The 25,759-nt window shown below is 34.1% G+C and overlaps 1 protein-coding gene across 3 annotated transcripts in view; it reads right to left on the minus strand.

The window, feature by feature from the left end:
- Window positions 1–25,759, minus strand: part of MGAT4C (MGAT4 family member C) — an 883,334-nt gene that overhangs the window by 471,749 nt on the left and 385,826 nt on the right. For all 3 annotated transcript variants that reach the window (NM_013244.5, NM_001351286.2, NM_001351285.2), the window contains one exon: window positions 7,742–7,850. The gene's annotated coding sequence lies outside the window, so the exon portion shown is untranslated. The remainder of the gene's footprint in view (window positions 1–7,741; window positions 7,851–25,759) is intronic.

A 25,759-nucleotide genomic window follows, 5' to 3' on the forward strand; every position in this document is an offset into this window, starting at 1 on the left:
CAAAAGGAAAAGTTAATAATATCATGGTTCTGTACTTAATGAAGCATAATTTTGTTTAAATTATAGAATTATTTCATTCTCCCATCCACCTTACACACACACAGACACACTCTAGCACACACATGCACATGTGCACACACCCTCTTATCCATTCAGGAAGATAAGCTTTCACATCCTTAGTAGTCACATTCTTAGTTTTCCCAAAAAAGAAACTCCATTCCATTTATACTTGTGGAAATGAAGTATATAATTGCCATATGTTCTCTAAAATGTCATAAAAGGTGAACATTTTCATTCACATGGAATATTTAAAAGCTAATATAGGCTGGACGCGGTGGCTCATGCCTGTTATCCCAGCACTCTGGGAGGCTGAGGAGGGTGGATCACGAGGTCAGGGGATCAAGACCATCCTGGCTAACACGGTGAAACCCCGTCTCTACTAAAAATACACAAAATTAGCTCAGCTTGGTGGCAGGTGCCTGTAGTTCCAGCTACTCGGGAGGCTGAGGCAGGAGAATCGCTTGAACCCGGGAGGCAGAGGTTGCTGTGAGCTGAGATCGTGTCCCTGCACTCCAGCCAGGGAGACAGAGCGAGAGTCCATTTCAAAAACAACAGCAACAACAACAACAACAACAAAACCACAACAACAAAAAAACCCGCTAATATAGTATAAAATCATTGTCTCAAATTAAAATATCAGGTTACAGGAATAAACAATGCAGATGTTACATACATTTCAAGATCGAATTATTTATTTAGATTATTTCATTTAATTATATAAAATAGGTGTTATTATCTCCATGCTAAAGATGAGGAAATGCAGAGTGTACAGTTTAGGTTAATTGCTCAAGTTCCTAATAACTGGCAGGTAATATAAGTAGGGTTTGAACTAAGCCTCTCTGATCCTCGTGTACTCATTCTTAACCATGTATCTACAGAGAGCAGGACTGAGGAGCATAATAGAAAAGAATCTCTGAAAAGCAGGGCTCAGTAGCTGACACTACAGGCATGTGCCACCATGCCAGGCTAATTTTTGTATTGCCTGCCTCGGCCTCTAAAAGTGGTGGGATCACAGACATGAGCTACCACTCCCGGCCTCTCCTCTTCGACTTTTTGAGAGAGTTTGAGGATTTGTATCTGTTTTCTTTAAATTTTTGATAGAATTCAGCTATTAGGGCATAAGGTCCTGGTCTTTTCTTGCTGGGAGACTTTTTCTTACTTATTATATTCCCTTGTTAATAGTTTGTTCAGATGTTCTATTTATTAATGATTCAGTCCTGTTAGGTTGTATGTGTTTAGGAATTTATCCATTTCTTATACAATATCCAATTTTTTGACATACAATTGTCAATAGTATTTTCTTATGATCCTTTTTATTTCTGTGGTATCTGTTGTAATGTCTACTTTTTCATTTCTGATTTTATTTGAGTTTTCTCTCTTTTTTAGTTATTCTAGCTAAAGTTTGACAATTTTGTTTCTTTTCAAAAAAGAGTTACTTTTTATCTCTTGTGTTGCTTTTCTAGTCTTTATTTCATTTTCTTTTCTAATTCGATATTTATTATTTTTTCCCATGTGCTAACTTTGGGCCTAGTTTGTTCTTTTTCTATTAATAGTTCCTTAAGGTGTAATATTATGTGGTTTATTTGAGATCTTTTTCTTCTTTTTTTGTTGTAGGTACCTATTGCAAGAACTTTGCTATTAGAACCGCTTTTTGCTGTATCACCTAGATTTGATGTGTTGTGTTTCCATTTGTGTTTGTCTCAAGATTTTTAAAACATTTTCATTTTGATTGCTTCAATGACCTTTTGGTTGTTCAGGATCATGTTGCTTAATTTCCATATATTTGTGAATTTTCTAAAATTGCTACTGTTATGAATTTTGTTTCAAACAATTGTGTTTAGAAAATATACTTGATATAATTTATATTTTTTAAAATTTGCTGAGACTTGCTTTGTACCTTAGCATGTGATCTATTCTGAATAATGTTTGTTTGTGTGCTTGAGAAGAATGTATACACTGTTGCGGTTGGATGAAATATTTTGTTTATCTCTGTTAGGACCATTAAATCTAAAGTGTTGTTCAAGTCCAATGTTTCCTTACTGATTTTCCATCTGGGTGAATAAGGTTTTTATGGTTGTCACGTTTTTTGTTTTTGTTTTTTTCTTTCAGAACTTTGACTACATCTTTCCACTCTCTCTTGCTTGAAGACTTTCTGTTGAGAAATACTCTGATAGTAATATTCACCCTCTTTCATATATGGTGTGTTTCTTATCACTTGTCCTCAGAATTTTTTCTTGTCCTTGATTTTTTATTGTTTTGTTATTATATGACTTGTTGTGCTTCTCTTTGGGTTGAATTTGATTGAAGACCTTCATGCTTTCTGTATCTGGTTATTGGCATCTATCCCAGACAAGAAAAGTTTTTAACCATTATTTCTTTAAATACGTTTTCTGGCCTTTATTATTATTTGTCTCTTTCTGGAAGTCCTATTATGTGAAAGTTTAATCTCTTGATGGTGTCCCATAATTACTGTAAGCTTTATTCCTTTATCTTTCTGCTCCACTGACAATAATTTCAAATGTTCTGTCTTTCAACTCAAGTAGCTAGTTTTTTCTTCTGCTGTTGAAGTTTTCTATGGAATTTTTCATTACAGTCATTGTATTCTTCATCTCTAAGATTTCTGTCTGGTTCTTTCCTATTGTTTCTATATCTTTGTCTAACTTCTTGCAATTTTGTATATTGTTTTTCAAATTTTACTACATTTTATATTCATATTTTCTGGTACTCCATGCAACATCTTTTTTAGTATTATTTTGATTTATCTGCTACAGATTTCTAGATCTCCATTTCTTTAGGGTTCATTATTGAAGCTTTATTAGTTTCTTTTGGAGGTGTCATGATTCCTTGATTCTTCATAATCCTGTGTCCTTATGTTGTCTGCACATTTGAGGGAATAGTCCCCTCTTGGCCTTTACGGTGTTCTCTGGCAGGGATACACATGCATTATTTAATCTAGCCTCTGATTTTGGAAAAGCCAGCTGGGGACATCCTTGGGGAGGCAGAGCTTTCTGTGAGATCTCTAGTTAGTGGGCTATTGACTTTGTTTGGGTGAGGTTGCTCTTTGGGCTCTGATGGCCTGTGGGAACACTGGCTTTGTTTGGCTATAAAGTGGAGTTGCTGGGTGAGTACTGTGATGGATTTTGAGGTCAGTCACAAGATGTGTACTCTGGTCAGCCAATTATGTTATTGGTGACCTGAAGTTGGGCAGGGCTGGAGGCTGGGCTCCAAGGTTAGGTGGAGTCATTACTCTGGACAGGTGGATCCAGAGGCTATGGTCCTTAGAAATACACAATTAAGGATTTTCTCCCTGTCAATATGGAGCCATGAAGTGGTTTTTTTGGCTATGTTGAGAGGATTTGGGACTCTTTGGGAGGGCTTATGTGTGGAGTGAAGATACTACTTGATTTTCTAGGTTAAGTAGGTTTAGCCCATTTGCTTCTTTAAAATTCACAGAAGTGGGAAGTTCCTTGCCTGGGCAAAGTCACTGGGAGTGTTTCTTTGCTGAGTAAAGCTGCTGCTTGTTAAGTTGCCAAGTTAAGCTGGTCTAGCCCCTTCATTTCTTCAAAAAGGGAGGAGATTGGCATCTCCTTGCCTAGGCAGAATTGTTGGGGTGGGTCCCTGAGGCAGGGTGAGTTAAAAGCATATAGGGACTCAAACTAGGTGAAATTTTCACCATGCTTTCAAAGACACCTAGCTCTGTACTGCAGGTTGGCAATGAGGTTGACTGGTATCTGCAATTGGGCACCACAGCTAGCAGGAACACAGTGGTCCCACCAAGATCCACTCTTGTCACTGTGGTCTCTGCCTCCTTTCTTTGGTTCTATTTGGACCTGGGTGGTTTAGCCATACCATTTTGCCTAGAGTTCCCTGTGAGGTAAGGCCAGAGTGGGCTTCCTGGAAAGCATCTTAGAATGCTAGGGACACATCAAAATAAAAACATGGTAAAACCTAATCAAATATTTTCCAGGAGAGAGGGTGTTTTCATTGCTTGACCCCAAATCTCCCTTGACGAGTATACTGATGGTCCTCCATTTACAACGGTGTTATTTTCCAATAAACCCATTATAAGTTAAATATTATGTCAAAAATGCACTTAACATACTGAACCAACTGAACATTATAGCTTAGCCTCACCTACCATAAATGTTCTCAGAATGCTTGTGTTAGCTTACAGTTGGGCAAAATTATCTGGCAACACAGTATACTGTAGAGTATCAATTATTTCCCATCATGATTGAGTGACTGACTGGAGCTGCAGCTTGCTGCTGCTTCCCTGCACCTTAAGAGGGTATCATGCCACTTTCTATTGAATACATAACACCTTCGCACCATTGTACACTCAAAAGTTTCATCTGTATCCATATAGAATCAAGGAATGCACCCAACTATTGATACACGCTATAGGGTTGTGCTGTAAGATTGCTGATATTTTAAGTAATTATAGAAATAAAGACTATGGAGAGAAGAGGAAAGAGCGAGACAGAGAGAGAGAGAGAGGAAGTATTAGGTCAACTATTGTGTCCTGAGGAACTCTTAAAAGTGTACTCCACTAGAAGAAAAAGCTACCAAAGAAACAGGAAGAGAAAAGAAACAAAACAAAGTTAGGAGAGTGTTAAGGAGGTAAAGGGAATACTATCTCAAAAAGAATTGAATCATTACCTCTTAAATACTGGTGGGAAACCAAGAAAACTGAGTGGACTTAGCAACAAGAAAATAATGTAACTACCTCAGAAAATTTGGAAGAATCACAAGGATTGTGCAAATTTAGAGAAAAATGAAGGCAAAGATATGGAAATGGTATCTGGAAAACAAACAAACAAACACAAAAAAACCTTTGAGATGTTTCTGTGAAGTAGCAGATACATGGATGGTATTTAGAGAGGGATGTGTAGTCCCAGCCAAATATTGGTAGAGATGTGTAGTAAATATAAAGAGGTGTTTAATGGGAACAATTTCATGGAGAAAATAGAGCTAAATATTAGGAATAAAAATATTTATCAGGCAGAGGCATATACCTGAGAAGTCACAAGTAGAAGAGATGGAAGGTGGGGTCATGCAAGTTGGGATACTTCTTCCCATTGTAAATAAAGGAAAGAAGTGCAGTGTGAGGGCAGATTGGGAGGTAAGCTTTGTAGATTTGTAGGCAAAAGAACACAGGGGAACCCATTAAATAATCTGTATCTTCTCAGTGAAATGGGATGCAATTTTATCAGCTATAAGAAAAAGAGAATGAATAAAGCAAAGAAAATTTGAAAAGTAATAAAAACTTTTCTACAAAATATCTCTCTAAAAAGCAGTTTCCTCAAAATATGTCTAAAGGGAAAGAAAGTGTAACAAAACTGTCTCATTGTATTTATAATTAGAAAGCAATGAATTTGCATCCTGTTTGTAAACTTTATAATATTTCCTGTTCAACTTTTTTTTTCATAAAATTGAAGTTATAAGAAAATTCCCAAATGGAAGAAATCACTTTCCCTGGAGTGGGTATGAGGCTTGATAGGAAGATATCTTCATATAAAGCAGCCTCTAGTCTGAGCCACACAGTTCAGTTAGAACCTGGACAAGAGACAGTAGAAAAAAGCAGTGTTCTCAAGATGAACAGCAAAAGCAAAGGCATGAAAGTAGAAAATGGTAGGATATCCTGCTGTGCCAAACTCATCAGGGGGGCAGAGATGCTATACTTGCTTCTCTTTCCTATCTTCTAAACTAAAGCATGTGTATGTATGTTAACAATTGTAGCTCCTAAACGTGAAGATAACAATGAAAGGAAAAAAACACACACACATATATTTATAACTATATATATAAAATGATATACATATATATGTATGTGTGTGCATACATACACACATTCACACACACACGTGTATGTGTGTGTGTGCATATATATATACACAGAAGGATTTTCTTTCTGTCTGAGATTCGCTTAAAAGTTGGAAAGATATAAACTGAGGGAATTGATACTTTTTTGTTGTTGTAGCTTGCTGCATGTGCCTATTGCAACAGTCTTTAAGAGTGCAGAAACCACAGAAATTTAAAGCAAATATATTTTTTTTTACTACATGGATTCATGGTAACATAGTTAATGACTTTTTTTCCCCTCAGCTCCCCTTTAAACTAGAATCTCTTTCAGAGGCAAGGCTGTCTGTATTTCTTTCAGTGCAAGGTACACAGGTAAATATTTCAAATGGGTTGAATTGAATGCATGCATAATTTAAATGAGGGCAGAACAAGGGGAAAACGGCATTGCTAAAGTTTTTTAAGCTCGTGCATTAAAGCATAGAATTATTTTTTACATCTGAAAAATTAAGTCTCATTGTATTCATTGTCATTACTGACTCCTCCTGACTCTGCTATTTGTCCTTAGCCAGACCTTCACTATGAATTCATTATTTTTAAGCATATATGTTAAATCCTCATTAAATCTATACAGATGTTAGGTTAAATTTATTTAAGCTACATATTTCCTCTCCTGGAAGCTTTTAGCAATGTACCTAATCAATAAATACCTATTGAAGTTATCAGATAAGCATGAATTTTTATTGGCAACTTATTAGACAGACATGGCAAGCTACTTATAACTTTGAAGCCTGGAAGGCTATTCTGGTGTAAACTCCTGAAAATGATTGTATTTAAATCTCATAGATATATACATTAAATCATGGATGTAACTGAGCAACTTAAAAAGAATAAAATCTGAATCATACAAGTTTATTTAAAAAATAATTTATCTTCAGATGTAGCTCTTTGGTTGTAAAGTCTTTTTGATATTTATGTTATTGTTTTCTGAACTAAAGTTTACCAAGAAAATGAAAAGGAAGGGCCATATAAATGAAAATTAAAAGCTATAAATTTCCATAGGGATTACATTGCTTTAATATGTAAATGTGTAATTATCTAAAATTAATTTTGCTCATGTCAAATATTTATATATACTTACACATATGTACTTATATACATGTGTATATGTATACACATGTATATGCTCTCAATATTTATTGTCATTTTAGACTGATATGAATTCAGATAGAGTTTATAATAGGTAGAGATTCTCATACAAATGTTGAAGCACATTACAGGCTGAAGAAATTACATGAAAAACAGAATTTTGTACTTTGTATATATGTGCACAGTTACAGTCTTTAGAGCTAAAGTGAGAAAACCATATTCAAATAAACTCATCCAGAATAATCCCCAGCTTTTCCAATTTTAAATATAAAAAGAGAATAGAGTGGTCAAAAATATCTGCAAGTGAATCCAAAGGCCGAATTTGGTGGTGGTGAGCTTCTGGGAATTAATAACACCATTGGTCAGGGGAAAACTTAAACACATAGATTCACTCTCAGCCATGGTATCAGAATACCAATCTTTCTTCCCTTTGTCCTGTCCAGAAGATCTACAGTATAAACATAAAATGACTTCACATTTCACTCAACAGAAGAGTAGTTTAAGACTTCCCTATGTCCAATACAAATTTAACATGTGCAATATGACTCAGTGTTTCAGTTTTATCTTGCTATAACATAAAGGCACAAAGCATAGTGAAAAAAATATTTCAAAGAAAAAACATTTTCTGACTTATAAACATATAACAGAGTCTCCTCTCCCTGACCACATTATGGTTTAAAAGGATTTCTTATCAAACTCTCACCATAGCAAAGAAAAAGAAAGCTTCTCTTACCAGAGTGGATAAAGCTTCAACCTTGCTATAGCGTTTTCTGCAGCTCTTGTTTGAAAGACAGATCCACAGCAGCTTTGTGCATACAAGTGATCTGGCTGATCTCCAGTTCCTGCACAAAAAAACAGTATAATTGGATCTCAAAAAAGTGTTGTAAACATTCATCATGATGGCACTTGCATGTTGAATCTAGTGACTGTTATTCTGGTAGACTTTCTCCAAACAAGCCCATTACATTTCTACTTTCAATACAAGCTGTTTGGTTTCTCTGTTCAATACTGAGATTAATATCTTTAAAGAAAGCATGCATTTGTGAGTGTCAGTTCTATTACCATGTCTGAAAGTGTGGTCTAAGATTAAAAAAAATACACACAATTATAAATCAAGATGATACTGTCTGGTACGTAAATTTACTTAGCACCTATATGTCTTTATTTTTAAATTTAACAATAGTCAGGCCAGTATTTATGTACTAATGAGATATCAGTATTATTAAGTCTCTTTCATTTACTATTTGATAAAACTCAAATGAACATTCTATATCTCTGCTTTGCAAAAAACCCACATCAATAATGCTTACAACACACCCCAGAGTCTGAGACCAGCTCTGCTGCATTTCTAAGTTTCATTAAATATTCCACTGTTCCTTTGCCTAAACCTTCAAAGTGGCCCAGACACAATCACATCCTTAAATTTTATGGGAGCAATGAAGAGGTCACAAAGCATTGGCTTTTTTGAAATTTTTAAACATTCAATATTTCTGGAAGCATTAACTCATTATAACTACAAGTGGCATATTCTTGTTATCAAATGAATATGAACACTAGATCAAAAATTAAGTCTCAATAAAAATAGTCTCAATTTGTGTCACTCTTTATAATGATCTAAGCAATACATTGATCTTACAACTATATGATTATATAATCTTTGCCTTGCTTCCCATGGGTTTAAAGCCTGGTTAAGCGTTACCAGCAGTACCACTACGAAAAATATGAATTAACTGGATGGAGAGATTTTTTCTTTTTGCATTTTTATATCTGGTATCTTATTTTTCATCTGTATACAGATTAAGCAAGTGCAACAAAACAATTTTGTGCAACAAAACAATTTTGTGCAACAAAACAATTTTGTGCAACAATTTATGATTGTAGAAATCTCAAAAAATGACAACTTATGACAATATAATTCAGAGGATTATAGGCTGATATATGCTAGTCTTTTAAGACAACAGATTTCATTAATCTTCTAATTATGTTACTTAGGGAGTCAGAGTGTGGGGGGAGAAGACCTACATACTGTTTTTTTAATAGTTTGTATCAGTTAACTATTATCCCTTATTATTATGTAACAATTGTCTTTATAAAATTTTCCACTAACATTTTCATGTTTAATTATTTTATTAGAACAGTGAAGACAGCATTATTATTCTCCATTATAGTTATATCATGATATAACTAAGACTCAAAGGATAAGGACTTGAAATTCTTAACTAGAGGAACTTCTGATGTTCAGCTACATCCAAACAACGTTTTCTTTTAAAACAATGTATCGAATATTTTTCTTTAAAAGAGGTTTGTGTGATTTAGCTTGGTGATTTCAATTGGAGAATAGGCATTTAGTGAATTATTGTAACATATTCGGAGCTGTGATACATTGAGACCTTTTCCTATGCCTAATTATTTTGGAAATTATTTGCAAATACAGTTCAAAAAGACAATTATATATGATGTTATGTTAAAAATGTTTAAAATTTAAGAATTACCTATTGATTATTTGCTAAGTGACAGGTTTTTTGTTAAGTTCTGAGGTTATGGGAGTGAATAAGCTAAATATCTCCACTTTATGTAATTTTCGATGTAGAAATGAAAATAATTAGCCCAAGATATAAATTTGTTTGGAAAATTTTAGTGGCAGTGAGTTAATTTATAAATTCAGTAATAGACAAAAAAATCCCTAAGATATCAGAATTTTTATGTCTTTATTACAAAAAATTCTAATCATTATTAAAAACAGTATTGCTGAAAATATTGAGCTAATCATTTTAGAATGATTCTGAAATTCTTAATGCTTATATTTTAGAAGAAGATTGTAGACATTTTTACTAGTTATTTTCCAATGTACACAATTTGTATTTATATATACCTATGTATATCTACATATACAAATAGTCATATTAAGGTCTTGATTAGATAATGAGGTTTGGAACAGTTCAAGTATTACATAATATGGTTGTAGGAGTAAATCAATTTTTCCACTAAAAGTTATTGTTGACGTCCCCCTCTCTAAATGAATATATTAAAAAGAAAATGAGGAAGGCAAAATAAAATTATCATAACATATCATATTAGTTAAATGACTTATAGTATTTATTTGTTCTAGTTATTCTCAGTCTCTTTACAAATACAAGAACACATTGTTTTATTGCAATTTGCTTTATTGTACTTTGTAGATATTGCAGTTTTACAAATTGAACATTTGTGGTAACCCTGCATTGAATAAATTATCAGCACCATTTTTCTAATACAAAGTGCTCACTTTGTGTCTCTTTGTCACACTTTGGTCATTCACACAATATATCAAGCTTTTCCATTATTATTGTATATTTTATCTGTTTCATTATATCTACGATCATTGATATTACTCTTGTAATTGTTATGGGGCACCACACACCACAACCATGTAAGACAGTGAAATGTTGTGCATGTTCAGACTACCGCACTGACCAGCTGTTACTCATCTTTCTTCTTCTACTAGAGACTCCCTGTTCCCTGAGACACAAAAATATTGAAATTTAGCTGATCGATAGCCCTACAATGGCTTCTAAGTGTTCAAGTGAAAGGAAGAGTCATGGTCTTTCACTTGAAGTCAAATGGTAGAAATGATTAACTTTAGTGAGGAAGGCATGTCAAAAGCCAAGATAGGCTAAAAGCTAGGCTTCTTATGCTAAACAGTTAGGCAAGTTGTGAATGCACAGGAAAAGTTCTTAAAAGTGCTAGTCCAGTGAAAACATGAATGATAAGAAATCAAAACAACTGTATTACAGATATGGAGACAGGTTTAGTGGTCAGGATAAAATATCAAACCAGCCACAATATCCACTTAAGATAAAGCCTAATCCAGAGCAAGGCCCTAATTATCTTTAATTCTATGAAAGCTGAGAGAGTTGAGGAAGCTGAAGAAGAAAAGTTTGAAGCCAGCAGAGGTTCGTTTATGATATTTAAGGAATGATGCCCTCTGTATGACTTAAAAGTGCAAAGTGAAACAGCAAGGGTTGATGCAGAAGCTGAAGCAAGTTATCCAGAAGATCAGCCTAAGACAACTGATGAAAGTGGCTAGAGTAAACAACAAATTTTCGATAATGAAACAGCCTTCTAATAGAAGATGGCATCCCTATAAAACAATAAAACATGAAGAAAACAAAGTAACTATGTAACAATCAATATGATGACTGGAACAATATGTCACATCTCAATAGTAACTTTTAATGTCAATTATATAAATGCTCCACTTAAATGATACAGACTGTCAGAATTGATACAGTAATCACAAACCAAATAATGCTGTCTTCAAGACACACACCTAACCATGTAAGGATTCCTATAGACTCAAGCTAAAGGGATAGAAAAATATATTCCACACAAATGGAAACTGAGGGCAAGCAGGAGTAGCTATTCTCATATCAGATGAAACAGAACTTAAAGCAACAAAAGTAAAAAAAATAAAAAGACAAAGAAGGTCATTATATAATGATAAAAGGATAATCCAACAAAAAGATGTTATAAGCTTAAATATATATATGCACTGTAGCTCCCAGATTCACAAAATTATTCCTACTAAACCTATGAAAAGAGGCAAACACCAACACAATGATAGAAGCGATTTCAACACTCCACTGACAGCATTAGACAGATCGTTGAGGCAGAAAGTCAACAAAGAAACACTGGACTTAAACTACACTCTACAGCAAATGAACCTAACAGATATTTATAGCACATTCTACCCAATAACTGCAAAATATACATTATTCTCATCAGCCTACAAATCATTCTCCAAGATAGAACACATAACAAACCACAAAGCAATTCTCAATAAATTTTAAAAACTTGAAACAATATCAAGTATCTTCTCAAACCATAGCAGAATGAAATTAGAAATTAATTCCCAAAGGAATCCTCAAAACTATACAAATACATGGAAATTAAACAACCTACTTCTGAACTATGCTTAGGTTAACAATAAAATCAAGATGAAAATCTAAAAACTATTCAAAATGAATGATAACAGTGACACAAGTTATCAAAACCTCTGTGATACTGCAAACGCAATGCTAAGAGGAAAGTCTATAGCACTAAATACCTACATCAAAAAGTCTGAAAGATCACAAATAGACAACCTAACATCACACCACAAGAAACTACATAAACAAGAAAAAAACAAATCCAAAGCTAGCAGAAGATAAACAACAACAACAAAGATCAGAGCAGAACTAAGTGAATTTGAAATCAAAAATCAATACAAAAGGTAAATGAAGCAAAAAGTTTTTTCTTTGAAAAGATGAACAAAATTGATAGACCACTAGCCAGATTAGCCAAGAAGAGAGAAGGTTCAAATAAACTCAATTAGAAATTAAAATAGAGACATTACAACTGACACCACAGAAATAGAAAAGATCCTTCAAGACCATTATAAACACCTCTATACATACAAACTAGAAAGTCCAGAGGAAGTGGATAAATTCCTGAAAACATACAACCCTCTTAGCTTGAATCAGGAAGAAACAGAAATCCTGAACAGACCAATAACAAGCAGTGTGATTGAATCAGTGACAAAAAATTTGTCAGCAAACAAAAGTTCAGGGTCAGATGGCTTCACAGCCAATTTCCACCAAACATTTAAAGAGGAATTGATGCCTATCCTACAGAAACGATTTCAAATGATTGAGAAAGAGGGAATATTCCTAACTCATTCTATGAAGCCAGTATCATTCTAATAACAAAGACAGGGAATAACATAAAAACAACAACAAAAATACTACAGACCAACATTCCTGATGAACATAGATGCAAAAATCCTCAACAAAATATTAGCAAACCAAATTCGACAGCACTTCAAAATGATAATTCACTATGATTATGTGGGTTTCATTCCAGGGATACAGGGATGATTCAACACACACAAACTGACAAATGTGATTCACCACAAAAACAGAATTAAAAACAAAAACCATATGATAATCTCAATAGACATAGAAAAGCCATTCAATAAAACCCAGCATCCCTTTATGATAAAAACTCTCAGTAACCTAGGCATAGAAGGAACATACCTCAAAATAATAAAAAACATGTATGACAAACCCACAGCCAACTCATACTGAATGGGGAAAAGAAGAAAACATTCCCTATAAGAACTGGAAGAATACAGGGATGCCCATTTTCATCACTTCTATTCAACATAGCACTGAAAGTCCTAGCCAGAGCAATCAGGGAAAAGAAATAAATAAATACATCCAAATCAGAAAATAGGAAGTCAACTTATCTGTTTGCAGATGATTTGATCATATACCTAGGAAACCCTAAAGAGTCCTTCAGAAGACTCCTAGAGTTGATAAATAAATTTAGTAAAGTCTTGGGTTACAATATCAATATACACAAATCAGCTGCACTTCTATATGCCAATAACAACCAAGCTGAAAACAAATCAACAACTCAATCCCTTTTACAATAACTAAAAAAAATCTAGGAATATGCTTAAACAAGGAGGTAAAAGAACTCTACACCTAGAACTGCAAAACACTGCTGGAATAAATCATAGGCAACACAAACACATGGAAATACATCCGATGCTCATGGACTGGAATAATTAATATCATGAAAATGATCATACTGCCCAAAGCAATCTACAGATTCAATACAATTTATACCAAAATACCAGCATCATTTTTCACATAAATAGAAAAAATAATTATAAAATTTCTTTGGAACCAAGAAAGAGCCTAAATAGCAAAAACAATTCTAAGCAAAAAGAACAAATCTGGAGGCATGGCATTACCTGACTTCAAATTATACTACAAGGATATAGTAACCAAAATAGTACGGTACTAATATAAAAGCAGATGCATAGACCAATGCAACAAAATAGAGAATTCAGAGATAAAGCCAAATCAACCAACTGATTTTTTTTATTATTATTTTTATTATTATTATTATTATTATACTTTAAGTTCTAGGGTACATGTGCACAACGTGCAGGTTTGTTACATATGTATACATGTGCCATGTTGGTGTGCTGCACCCATTAACTCATCATTAACATTGAGTACACCTCCTAATGCTTTCCCTCCCCCCTCCCCCCACCCCACAACAGGCCTCGGTGTGTGATATTCCCCTTCCTGTGTTCAAGTGTTCTCATTGTTCAATTCACACCTATGAGTGAGAACATGCAGTGTTTGGTTTTTTGTTCTTGCAACAGTTTGCTGAGAATGATGGTTTCCAGTTTCATCCATGTCCCTACAAAGGACATGAACTCATCTTTTTTATGGCTGCATAGTATTCCATGGTGTATATGTGCCACATTTTCTTAATCTAGGCAATCATTAATGGACATTTGGGTTGGTTCCAAGTCTTCGCTATTGTGAATAGTGCTGCAATAAACATACATGTGCATGTGCTTTTATAGAAGCATGATTTATAATCCTTTGGGTATATACCCAGGAATGGGATGGCTGGGTCAAGGATCCTCAAGTTCTAGATCCTTGAGGAATTGCCACACTGTCTTCCACAATGGTTGAACTACTTCACGTCCCACTGACAGTGTAAAAGTGTTCCTATTTCTCCACATCCTCTCCAGCACCTGTTGTTTCCTGACTTTTTAATGATTGCCATTCTAACTGGTGTGAGATGGTATCTCATTGTGGTTTTGATTTGCATTTCTCTGATGGCCAGTGATGATGAGCATTTTTTCATGTGTCTGTTGGCTGCATAAATGTCTTCTTTTGAGAAGTGTCTGTTCATATCCTTTGCCCACTTTTTGATGGGATTGTTTGATTTTTTCTTGTAAATTTCTGTGAGTTCTTTGTAGATTCTGGATATTAGCCCTTTGTCAGATGGGTAGATTGCAACATTTTCCTCCCATTCTGTAGGTTGCCTGTTCACTCTGATGCTAGTTTCTTTTGCTGTGCAGAAGCTCTTTAGTTGAATTAGATCCCATTTGTCAATTTTGGCTTGTGTTGCCATCGCTTTTGGTGTTTTAGACATGAAGTCCTTGCTCATGCCTATGTCCTGAATGGTATTGACTAAGTTTTTTTCTAGGGTTTTTATGGTTTTAGGTCTAACATTTAAGTGTTTAATCCATCTTGAATTAATTTTTGTATAAGGTGTAAGGAAGGGATCCAGTTTCAGCTTTCTACATATGGCTAGCCAGTTTTCCCAGCACCATTTATTAAATAGGGAATCCTTTCCCCATTTCTTGTTTTTCTCAGGTTTGTCAAAGATCAGATAGTTGTAGGTATGCAGCGTTATTTCTGAGGGCTCTGTTCTGTTCCATTGATCTATATCTCTGTTTTGGTACCAGTACCAACTGGTCAGTGTTGACTGGTCAACAAAGAGCAAAACTCTGTCTCAAAAAAAAAAAAAAAGGAATCAGTCAATGTAACCAACTTAATTGTTGTTTTATTTTCACAAATTGCCATGGTCACCCCAATCTTCAGCAACCACCACCTTGATCAGTCAGCAGCCATCAACATTGAGGTAAGACCCTCCTCCAGCAGAGAGAATTACAACTTGTTAGAGGCTCAGATAATACTCAAGTTTTTAGCGATAAGGTATTTTTAAATTAAGTTGTGTACATTGTTCTTTAGATATAATTCTATTCCAAGGTTAATATATTATGGTATAGCATAAACATAACTATAATATGCACTGGGAAACAACAATTTTATGGGACTTGCATTACTGCAATATTCATTTTGCAGGTGTCTGGAACCAAACTTGCAATATGTATGAAGTATATTTATATTTCCACTGACATTATATATGTGTGTGTGTGTATATATATACACACACACACACACATATATACACATGTAAATTTCTGTTGACACAATACCGTAATTATAGTTTCATGTTATTACACAGGTTTCTCAAACATAATTATCCATTAATGTGGATGTTTTCTATTAAAGTGATTAAACTGAAATTTCAACCCCTCATTTTGTCATAGAAGCATGCTGAATAGACCTGGAGAAAAATTCAAAATCCTGACAATTGTTACTACTTTAAATTACTGACCATGAATAACAAATGAACACTCACTACTGCAAAAATCTTAATTACAACTGATGGAATAGCCTTAAACTTCACTGAGAAAACAATAGCCCCTGTGTAGGAGAGCCCAAATATCAACCCATCCCAACTAGCTACCAAACTGTTTTTTTTTTGTTGTTGTTTTTGTTTGTTTGTTTGAGACGGAGTCTCGCTGTGTCACCCAGGCTGGAGTGCAGTGGCACGATCTCGGCTCACTGCAAGCTCTTCCTCTTGGGTTCACACCATTCTCCCGCCTCAGCCTCCCGAGTAGCTGGGACTACAGGCGCCTGCCACCATGTCAGGCTAATTTTTTGTATTTTTTAGTAGAGACAGGGTTTCGCCTTGTTAGCCAGGATGGTCTCAATCTCCTGACCTCGTGATGCGCCCGCCTCGGCTTCCCAAAGTGCTGGGATTACAGGCACATGCCACCATGCCCGGCCTGTCTACAAAACTCTTTTAACAAAGTTTTACCAAACTTTCTCATGCTAATTCTTCTTATTCATATAAGTTACTCCCTCTGCGTTAATTCATCCTCATCGGTGTTTAATACTGTTTTAATATTTTTATGCTTTCAAAAATAAACCCCTCTACTACTTCATTTGTCTCTCTAGTAACCATATTTCTACATTGGAAAATATCTCAAAATATTTATTTTCTCATTTTACAATATCTTCTCAACTCGCTTTTATAGAACATCCATATCACCAAAGGCACTAAAATAGTCCTCATTTTACCTGATGTTCTAACAATTATGTGATTCCTTCTTGAATGATTCTCTTCTCGTCTTTAGTGGTACTACATTCTTCTTATTTCTTTCATACCATGCAAAGCCTTTCAATCCCAGGCTCATTTGCCGGCTTCTTTTCCTCTGAATAATATGTTTGGAGTATTTCTTGACTGATCATGGATCTCTTTTTCTTCTCAATCTATACTTTCCCTGCAGATAATCTTCTCCGGTTCCATGGCTTTACATATAATCTTTCCTGTTGACTACCAAATTTAGGTCTGCAACCTGACCTTTTTCCACTGTGCTTTAAATATGATTCTCCATCTGCATACTGATCTCAATTCCTGGCTCTCTAACAAGGATTTTAAAATTCAAACACGGCAAAATAGAACAATTGACTCTACCATATCGTTGCAAATCTGACCTTACTCCAGTCTTCCATATCTTAACATGGAATTCTTTCAGTTAAAATTCTTTGAGTTAAAATCAAAGTATTAAATTTTTATCTTAATGTTTTATTCTAACAAAAATGCATAACATAAAGTTTACCATAGTAACTATTTCTGAGGTACGGTTCTGTAGTATTAAGTATATTCACTTTGTTGCACAACTAATCTCCAGAACATTTTCATCTTTCAGAACTGAAACTCTATACCTCTTAAACAACTCCCCAAGAGGAAAGATTTATTGACATATGTAACAATACAGATGAATTTCTAAATTATACTGAGAGAAGCTAAACAAAAAAGTACATACTATATGACTTCATTTATATAAGATTCTAAAAATGCAAACTTATCCATAGTGACAGAAAGCAGATCAGCTGTTGCCTGGGAACCAGAAAGGTGGGGGTGGAAGAATTGGTGTGAGGAATTGCAAAGGATCACAAAATTTTTGTGTGTAACAGACGTGTTCATTATTTTGATTGTCATGATGGTTTCAGTAGTATATACACGTGTCTACACTTATCAAATCTCACACTTTAAATATGTGTAGCCTAATTTATGCCAATTATACTGCAAATATGACATTTATAATAAGTTCACACATAAAACCTCTAAAAATTAGAAAGAAAATAATCCAATATGTAAAGGCAAAAATATTTGTTCAAAATCTTCACAAAATAAGATATCCAAATGACCAATACCATGTAAGAGAATATTCCATATTATTTCTCATCAAAAATATTCATTCACCATATTTAGCAAAATTTATTAAAATAATCATTTCAAGATTTGAGGGAATGTGAAATTCATATACAACTGAAAGAACCGGAAATTAGCAAAAGCAGTTTGAGAAACTGGCAATACATACTAATGCTGAAAATGTACTCATCTTATGACTCAAGAATTCCACTCCTAGTTTCATATTCAAGAAGTATATGCATATAGCATCAAAAGATACACATTCGATTGCTCGACAGCTCTCTGCAACAGACAAAAACTGGAAATTATCCAAATGTCCTCCCGCAGTAAAACTGATGAATATCTTTTAAAATATTTACATAATAGAATAAAATATATCAATGAGAATGAGCAAACTTTTGCTATACGTGACAACATGAGTGAGTCTCAAACCTAATGTTGAGAAAAGATGTAATAAACAAATATTATGTCTTGTATAATTTTATTTATATAGGCTGCAAAAATGGTTACATTTTATTTTGGAAAAAGTAGTCAATCTACTGATTATCTTTGGGGTAGACTGAGTTTAATAACTAGGAAGAGGTACAAAATAATCTTTCAAATATTGGTAATATTTTATTTCCTGTTAGAGTTATATTAATTATAGACATGCATTCACTGTGCAAAGGTACTGGGTTGTTCACTTAAGAATTTGCAATTTCTGAATATGTGTTATGCTTCAGTAAAACTTTATATGTATGTGTGTGTCTGTATATATATATGCACACATATAGCTACACATAAAGTATATCACAAAAATATAGAATAAAATTTATTGTGATTTATGTTCTTTAGAACATATTATTTTTTATGAAAATATAACTTGAAATATTTTGTGAACAATTATTGCTAAGACAAGGACCCATTTTTTCCTGATAATGAAAACAAAACACGTGCATAAGGTTAAAAAGTTCCAGTAAAAAAACAAAGTCATTTGAATAATTACTCATCCCAGGAAAGCTGCTCCAATTGGCATTGGTAAAGTATATAATGCACTTATTTTTCTCAAAGGAATACACCATTATAGCACAGATATTTATGTGTATTCATTTCACATTATTTATGAAACTTCTTGAGGCTCTGACTTAGAGAAAGCAACCAGCTGTTTTTGTGATTTGCAAAATGAATGTCTTAAAGAAAAAAAAGGCAAAAAGTAGTATTTTATCATTTATATTGTCTTATTGCTTTTTTACTCACTTTCTTAATATGAATACCATGCATTATTTTCTACATTGTGTACTGTTCATATACGATGAAAACTGCTATCAGGACTTAAAATTACATCATGTAACTCATATATATATATATATATATATATATATATATATATATATATATATGGATGTGATTAGCCATGGTGGAAAGAGTGTGGATTTCACAATTGCAATGAAACAGTTTGAATATATGTAAATTTGGGCAAGCTGCATACTATTGCCATGGCTCTGTGTAATCATCTATGAGAGGGAGATGGTAATACTAACCCTACCTGTATGCAAATGTAAACATTATATGTAAATATATAAAAATTGATATTCTAAATGCTTACCATTACTATGTCATGCACTACTAAGAAGTTTTACTGGGCCATGCATTACTAGTGTTTTACATCAAAAGATAAGTTTGGAATAGATTGATTTAAACATTGATTAAAAGATGAACAATACGAAGGCTAAGGGATTGTAGAACAGTGACCCTTCAACAGGAACAGTGTCCTAAATGAGTGTCCTTTTTGCTAAATGAGCAGCAGCATTCTTTTTGTTTGTTTGTTTGTTTGTTTTGAGATGGAATTTCACTCTTGTTGCCCAGGCTGGAGTGCAATGGTGCAATCTCGGCTCACCGCAACCTTTGCCTCCCAGGTTCCAGCAATTCTCCTGCCTCAGCCTCCCGAGTAGCTGGGATTACAGGCATGTGCCACCACTCCTGGCTAATTTTGTATTTTTAGTAGAGACAGGGTTTCTCCATGCTGGTTAGGCTGGTCTCGAACTACTGACCTCAGGTGAACCACCTGCCTTGGCCTCCCAAAGTATCATTCTGTTTTTGTAACTGTAACTGAGCACTTTGGCCTCAGTAAAAAAGAATGACTGGAAACAACTTGGCTATCCAAGTAACAACAATTGTGTCAATAAACTTAGTTTAGAGATATTTACCACTAAATAAAATCTTTACCCTTCATGAGTACCAGTTTTTTTTTAACTTTTTTTTACTCTCTACATAGACAGTAAAATAAGTTAGAGAGTAAAATAAATAATAAGAATTTATTTAGCTTCTCCTATACAGTAAGATTTGTTCTAACATTTGTATTGGTGAATGAGTATTCCAAAATGATATGTCAGCCATCCAATATATAGACCAAATACAAGTTGAACAATAGTATAGCTATAGATGCAAATATAGATATTGAGGTAGGTAGAATGAAACTATTTTTTACAAGCAATGTTTGCCTACTTAGGTGTTTTGTACTTGCTGATCTCTCCAAGTATACTCCTCCTCCATATACTGTGTAACATTCCCTCTTACCACTTCCAGGCTTTTACAAGTGTCACTATGGCTGAGCTTCCCATGCCCTGCCCATTTTCCTTCAGCAATTCTGATTCGCCTATATGTTTGAGACCTTTTGCTGCATGCGTCTGAGATGTTGCTTTCATTGGCCAATGGTGCATGATTGACATGCATACAGGTCAGGCCAGAAGGTAAAAAATGTTCCCCAAAGCAGCCTTCAGTTAATTAGAGAAGGGAATTAGTAGCCAAGTGCCTCCCATTTCCCTCAATCTTTGGATGATAAAATATGAGACATGGTTCACACAGTCTCCCAGAATTCCATAGAAGGATGGAGCCTGGGTTGCCTGTGGCAGCTTCCTGATCATTTGTACACTTTTTATTGGAATCCTTTCCTTCTCAGCACTTGCCTGTTTCCTGCCATGGTTCTTGGGAATCACCACACACAACTTACTTGTACCTAATTTCTTGCTTCAGAGTTAGTTTCCTGGAAATCTTACCTAAGATAGTCACATTCTTAAATGCAAAATTTACTTTCACCACCCTCATTAAAAGTGCAACTCCAACCTAAACCAAGCATAGCCTTCTCCTTACCCTATCTTAATATGCTTCATTGCATTGTTTTGAAATGAAAAATTATATCATTTACTCTTTACTTACTACCTGAATCCCTCACTGGAAAGTAAAGCTATGAGAGCAGGAACTTTTGTTTGTTTGCTGTATCTCTAGTACCTATAATTAAACCTGCTGAATGGAGGGTGCTCAATGAATTATTTTTGAAGAAATAAATTATTAAAATGAATCTCAGCAAAAAACTAAGCTAACATCAATATTTTCTTCTAAGATTGACAAAGTAGACTTTGAAATTGGCAAGGAGATAGTGTTTAACTCAACTTTATGTGTGTTTAACTCAACTTTATGTTTCTTCCCCAGACAAATCAAAGAAATCTGAGTCTAATATAATGAATGTTAAAACATACATTTCATTAAAGCTTTGAGTCTTGCTTAAATATAATTTTAAATTGTCAAGGAAAGCCAAGAATTGGAACCTTCTATTTTACAACTCAAATAGCTAGGCTTCAGATCTTTATCATTGAGGAGTACATGATTCAAGCAATTATTAAATCTACAGATGTTCAGCTATAAGCTTTTACAAGATCTCTTGTCACTGAAAAGAGAGCAGAGGTATATTGTAGATGTAGCAAGAAAAAGTTAGTTGGGCTAAGACAAAATGTAACTTAATTTCTATCATTGGGGGCTACAAAACGTTTAGGTGGTATGTAACAATGCTGAATAAGTAAAATAATAATTGAGAACATACAATCAATAATTTTCAGTTATAATATTTATGGCAATGCCTGTTTTCTTATATACTGGAGTTTTTTAAGAAAGCATAGTGAGCTTTCAGGTATTACTGTGAAAAAGGAATAGTATGACATTATAGTGTTTAAAGAAGTTTTATTTAGATATGCTTTGGTTCAAATTCCAACTCTGCAATTTACTAAAGGTATGCTCCTCTATGATTTCAGATTTACCTAATTTTGTTTTTATTTTTAGAGAGGTAAAACACATAAGGTAATGTGCACAACTCTTAATTGTATAGTTTGATGTATCTTCATGAAGCTAACACATTCATTGAGACAGCCATTTATCAAATCAAATTATAGAATATTTCAAAGATCGCAAAAGCCTGCCTTATGGGCCCTACCAATTATCACTGTACCCAACGACTCGGTGGTAACGACTCTTCTCACTTCTGTCACCATAAAATAACTAAGTCTGTTTTTGAAATTTTTATAGATGTAATAGCACACTATGTTTTATGTCTAATTTCATTTGGAGAATATTCTATGTATAAGATTTAGTACCAGTGTTCCATGTAGTAGCCATTTGAGCATTTTCATTTTATGCACTCTCACATTGCATGACCACCACTAATGGTTTTATGACCACATCTAATTTACCCATTCCAAATTTGATGGAAATGTGAGATATTTTTGTTCATTAATAATTATTTTGCTTTGACTGTTTAATGGGTGCAGAGTTTTCTTTTGTGGTAATGAAATGCTTTTGAACTAGATGGAAATGGTGATTATACAACATTAAGAATGTGTTGGATATCACTGAATTGCACCCTTTAAAATAGTCAATTATATGTCATGTGATTTTGTCCTGAAGAAAAAGTATTGTGTTGCTTTGAACATTGTATCTCATTTTTGCCCTATTTATACTGTGAAGTATTCATATGTTCAGCGTTAGTAGAAATTGCCAACTTTTCTCGGCGGCAGTGTCAGTTTCCACATTCACTGAGAGTAAATGAGATTTCTAGTCCTCCACAACATTGTCAACAGGATTTGTTTTTTCCCATACTCATTGGTTTTAATCTGTATTTCACCGATGATGAATGAGGTTGAGCACCTCCACATAATTTGATTATCTATTTAGATAGATTTGTTAGTGAAGTGCTTAGTTTTTTATTAGGTTGTCTTTTCTTACTAATCTGTATAAATGTATGTATTCTAAATCATTTTTTCTCAGATTAACACATTCCCTGACAATTATTCAAATTGTCAAAATATTCTCTCATTCTGTGGTTTTGAGTTTCACAGTTTTAATCTCCTAAGAGTGAATAGAAGTTCTTATTTTTACCATAGTTCAATTTTCCAATTTTTCCCTTTATACTTAGTGCTTCTTGAGTTTTGTTAACATATATTTAACTATATCAAAGTAACGACTATATCTTGTTATTTTCTGGAGTTTTCATTGTATTACCTTTTACATTTGGGCTTAAGATCCTTGGAATTAATTACCTTGTATTATGTAACCTGGTGATCAAGCTTCTTTCTTTTTCTATTTTTCCTTCCTTTTTTCCTTCTTACACACACACAACACACATTTATCTGTATGTATGAATATATAAATATGTGACTATACACGTAATACATATGCTTTCTTACATACACGTTTGTATACACATATGTATGTTTTTATCCATATGTGTGCACATGTATACATTTATGTATTCATACTTTTATATATGAGTAGATATATTGCAATAGATATAGTATAAATCATCTTTCTTCTACATTAAGTGTTATTTTGTTATTTTTGTCATATATCTGGTAATTTATGAGTCAGCTATATCAGTCTTATTTGGTTCCTTTGAAGGTGATGTGGTTTGGATGTATGTCTCACACAAATCTCATATAGAAATGTAATCGCCAATGTTGGAGGTGGGGCCTAGTAGGAGGTGATTAGATCATGGGGTGGATTTCTCACAAATGGTTTAGCACCATTCCTGTTGGTACTGTCATCATGATAGTGAGGGGGTTCTTGTGAGATCTGGTTGTATAAAAGTGTGTGTAGCACCTCCCCTCTTGCTGTCTCACTCCTGCTTTTGCCATGTAATATACAAGCTCCTGCTTCATCTACCTCCATGATTGAAACCTGGCAGAGGCCTCCCCAGAAGGAGAGGCTACTGTGTTTCCTGTACACCTGCAGAATCATGTGCCAACTAAACATCTTTTCTTATAAAGTAGCCAGTCTCAGGTATTTCTTTATAGCAATGTGAGAACAAACTAATACACAAAGCATTATGCCCTTCCTTTAAGCTCCTTTTGTAGATTTTTTTCCTTTGTTTTGATTTTCAACAGGTTTACTATAAAATGGCTAGATTTTCTTTGTACTTGGGATTCTTGTAGCTTCTTCAATTTTTGGTACTATGTCTTTTGTCAGATTTGAAAAATTATTCACAAGTGGCTCTTTGATTTTGTGTTTGCCTATTATTTTCTCTTTCCAAAACACTGAGTATATACAGGTCCCATTTTATGGTCTCTGTTCTTCAAGATGGATAGTCTTTGATTAATTCATTCTTTTAAAATAAGATTATACATTAATGCTCTCTTTTTCAAAGCCAGTCTTCTTCTACACCCACTTACTGAATTATTTATTATGGTTATCAAAAATTTCAGTGCTAGGGTTTTCACACTAAACACACACAATTTTAATTATAGTTCTCTGTTGAAACTTTCAATATTCTATTTTTCAGCATGTATTAATCATAATTGTTTAAAAGTCTGAATTTCATTTCAATATCTAGTAAACCTGAGTGACTATTCTATTACTTAATTTTTCTCTTGGTTTTCAATCATTCGACCCCTATTTTCTAGTAGAATCAATTATTTTTATTTAATTACTGGCCAGTAGAAACTCGTGGGCAAATCACCTGATTCAGTTGAGGCTGACCTGTTTCTTGTTTGTTTTTCTACAAGGTAGAGCTCTTCTGGCATCCCCACTGAAAGTGTGCAGTACTAACTAGGGCCATTCTTTTTTTTTTCTTTTTTTTTTATATACTTTTTTATTATACTTTGAGTTCTAGGGTACATGTGCACAACGTGCAGGTTTGTTCCATCTGTATACATGTGTCATGTTGGTGTGCTGCACCCATTAACTCGTCATTTACATTAGGCATATCTCTTAATGCTATCCCACCCTCCCCCACCCCACAACAGGCCCCTGTGTGTGATGTTCCCCTTTAACTAGGGCCATTCTTGCTTATTAGTACATGAACTTCAACTCTTGACTTCCTTGTCTTGTGTGACTGCCAGGTTCTCTGCTTGGTTTGTAGCAGCTATTTTCTTCTTAATTTCTATTTATTTAGTCTATGCATTTGTGTTTTAGGGGGTGGAAAATGCCTCAAAGTAAATTACACATGAAATACTGGGCTCAATTTTCTACATTTTATTTTTCTTCTAGAATATTGGCTTCCTGAATATAGGGCCAAATTATTGAAAACCAAGAGAAAAATTAAGTAATAGCATAGTCACTCAGGCTTAGTAGATATTGAAATGATCAAACACAGACTTTTAAATAATTATGATTAATACATGTAAAGGTACTGCTTAGTAACTTTGACTCCAGTGTTTGTCTCCCTAGTCCAGTGGATTTATTGTCAACTGTAGACTGTATTTGTCTATTCAGACTTTCTGTCCAAGCCATGGATTAGCAAAAACCATACAGAAGGGGATGGAAGAGAATGGAGGTAAATGATGGGCTTGCTACAATGCATATTTTCTCTCTCTGATCTTGTTCCTCCAATCCTTAATTGCATTGAAATCTTCAGTCACATGAGTTTTGCATTTAAAACTCTTATTGTTGCTCTTCATGAGGGAATAAGTCTTATATCTGTTACTATATTATAGACAGAAATGAAAGTCTGAGAAAGTTATTTAAACTCTCCTGGTTTTTCTTCCTTTAAATGAGAATGAATATGCCACTCAAAGTGTATATTTAAATCATAGTTAAGGAGGTTTCT

The sequence above is a fragment of the Homo sapiens genome, chromosome 12, assembly GCF_000001405.40.
Source record: "Homo sapiens chromosome 12, GRCh38.p14 Primary Assembly".
Lineage (NCBI taxonomy): Eukaryota > Metazoa > Chordata > Mammalia > Primates > Hominidae > Homo > Homo sapiens.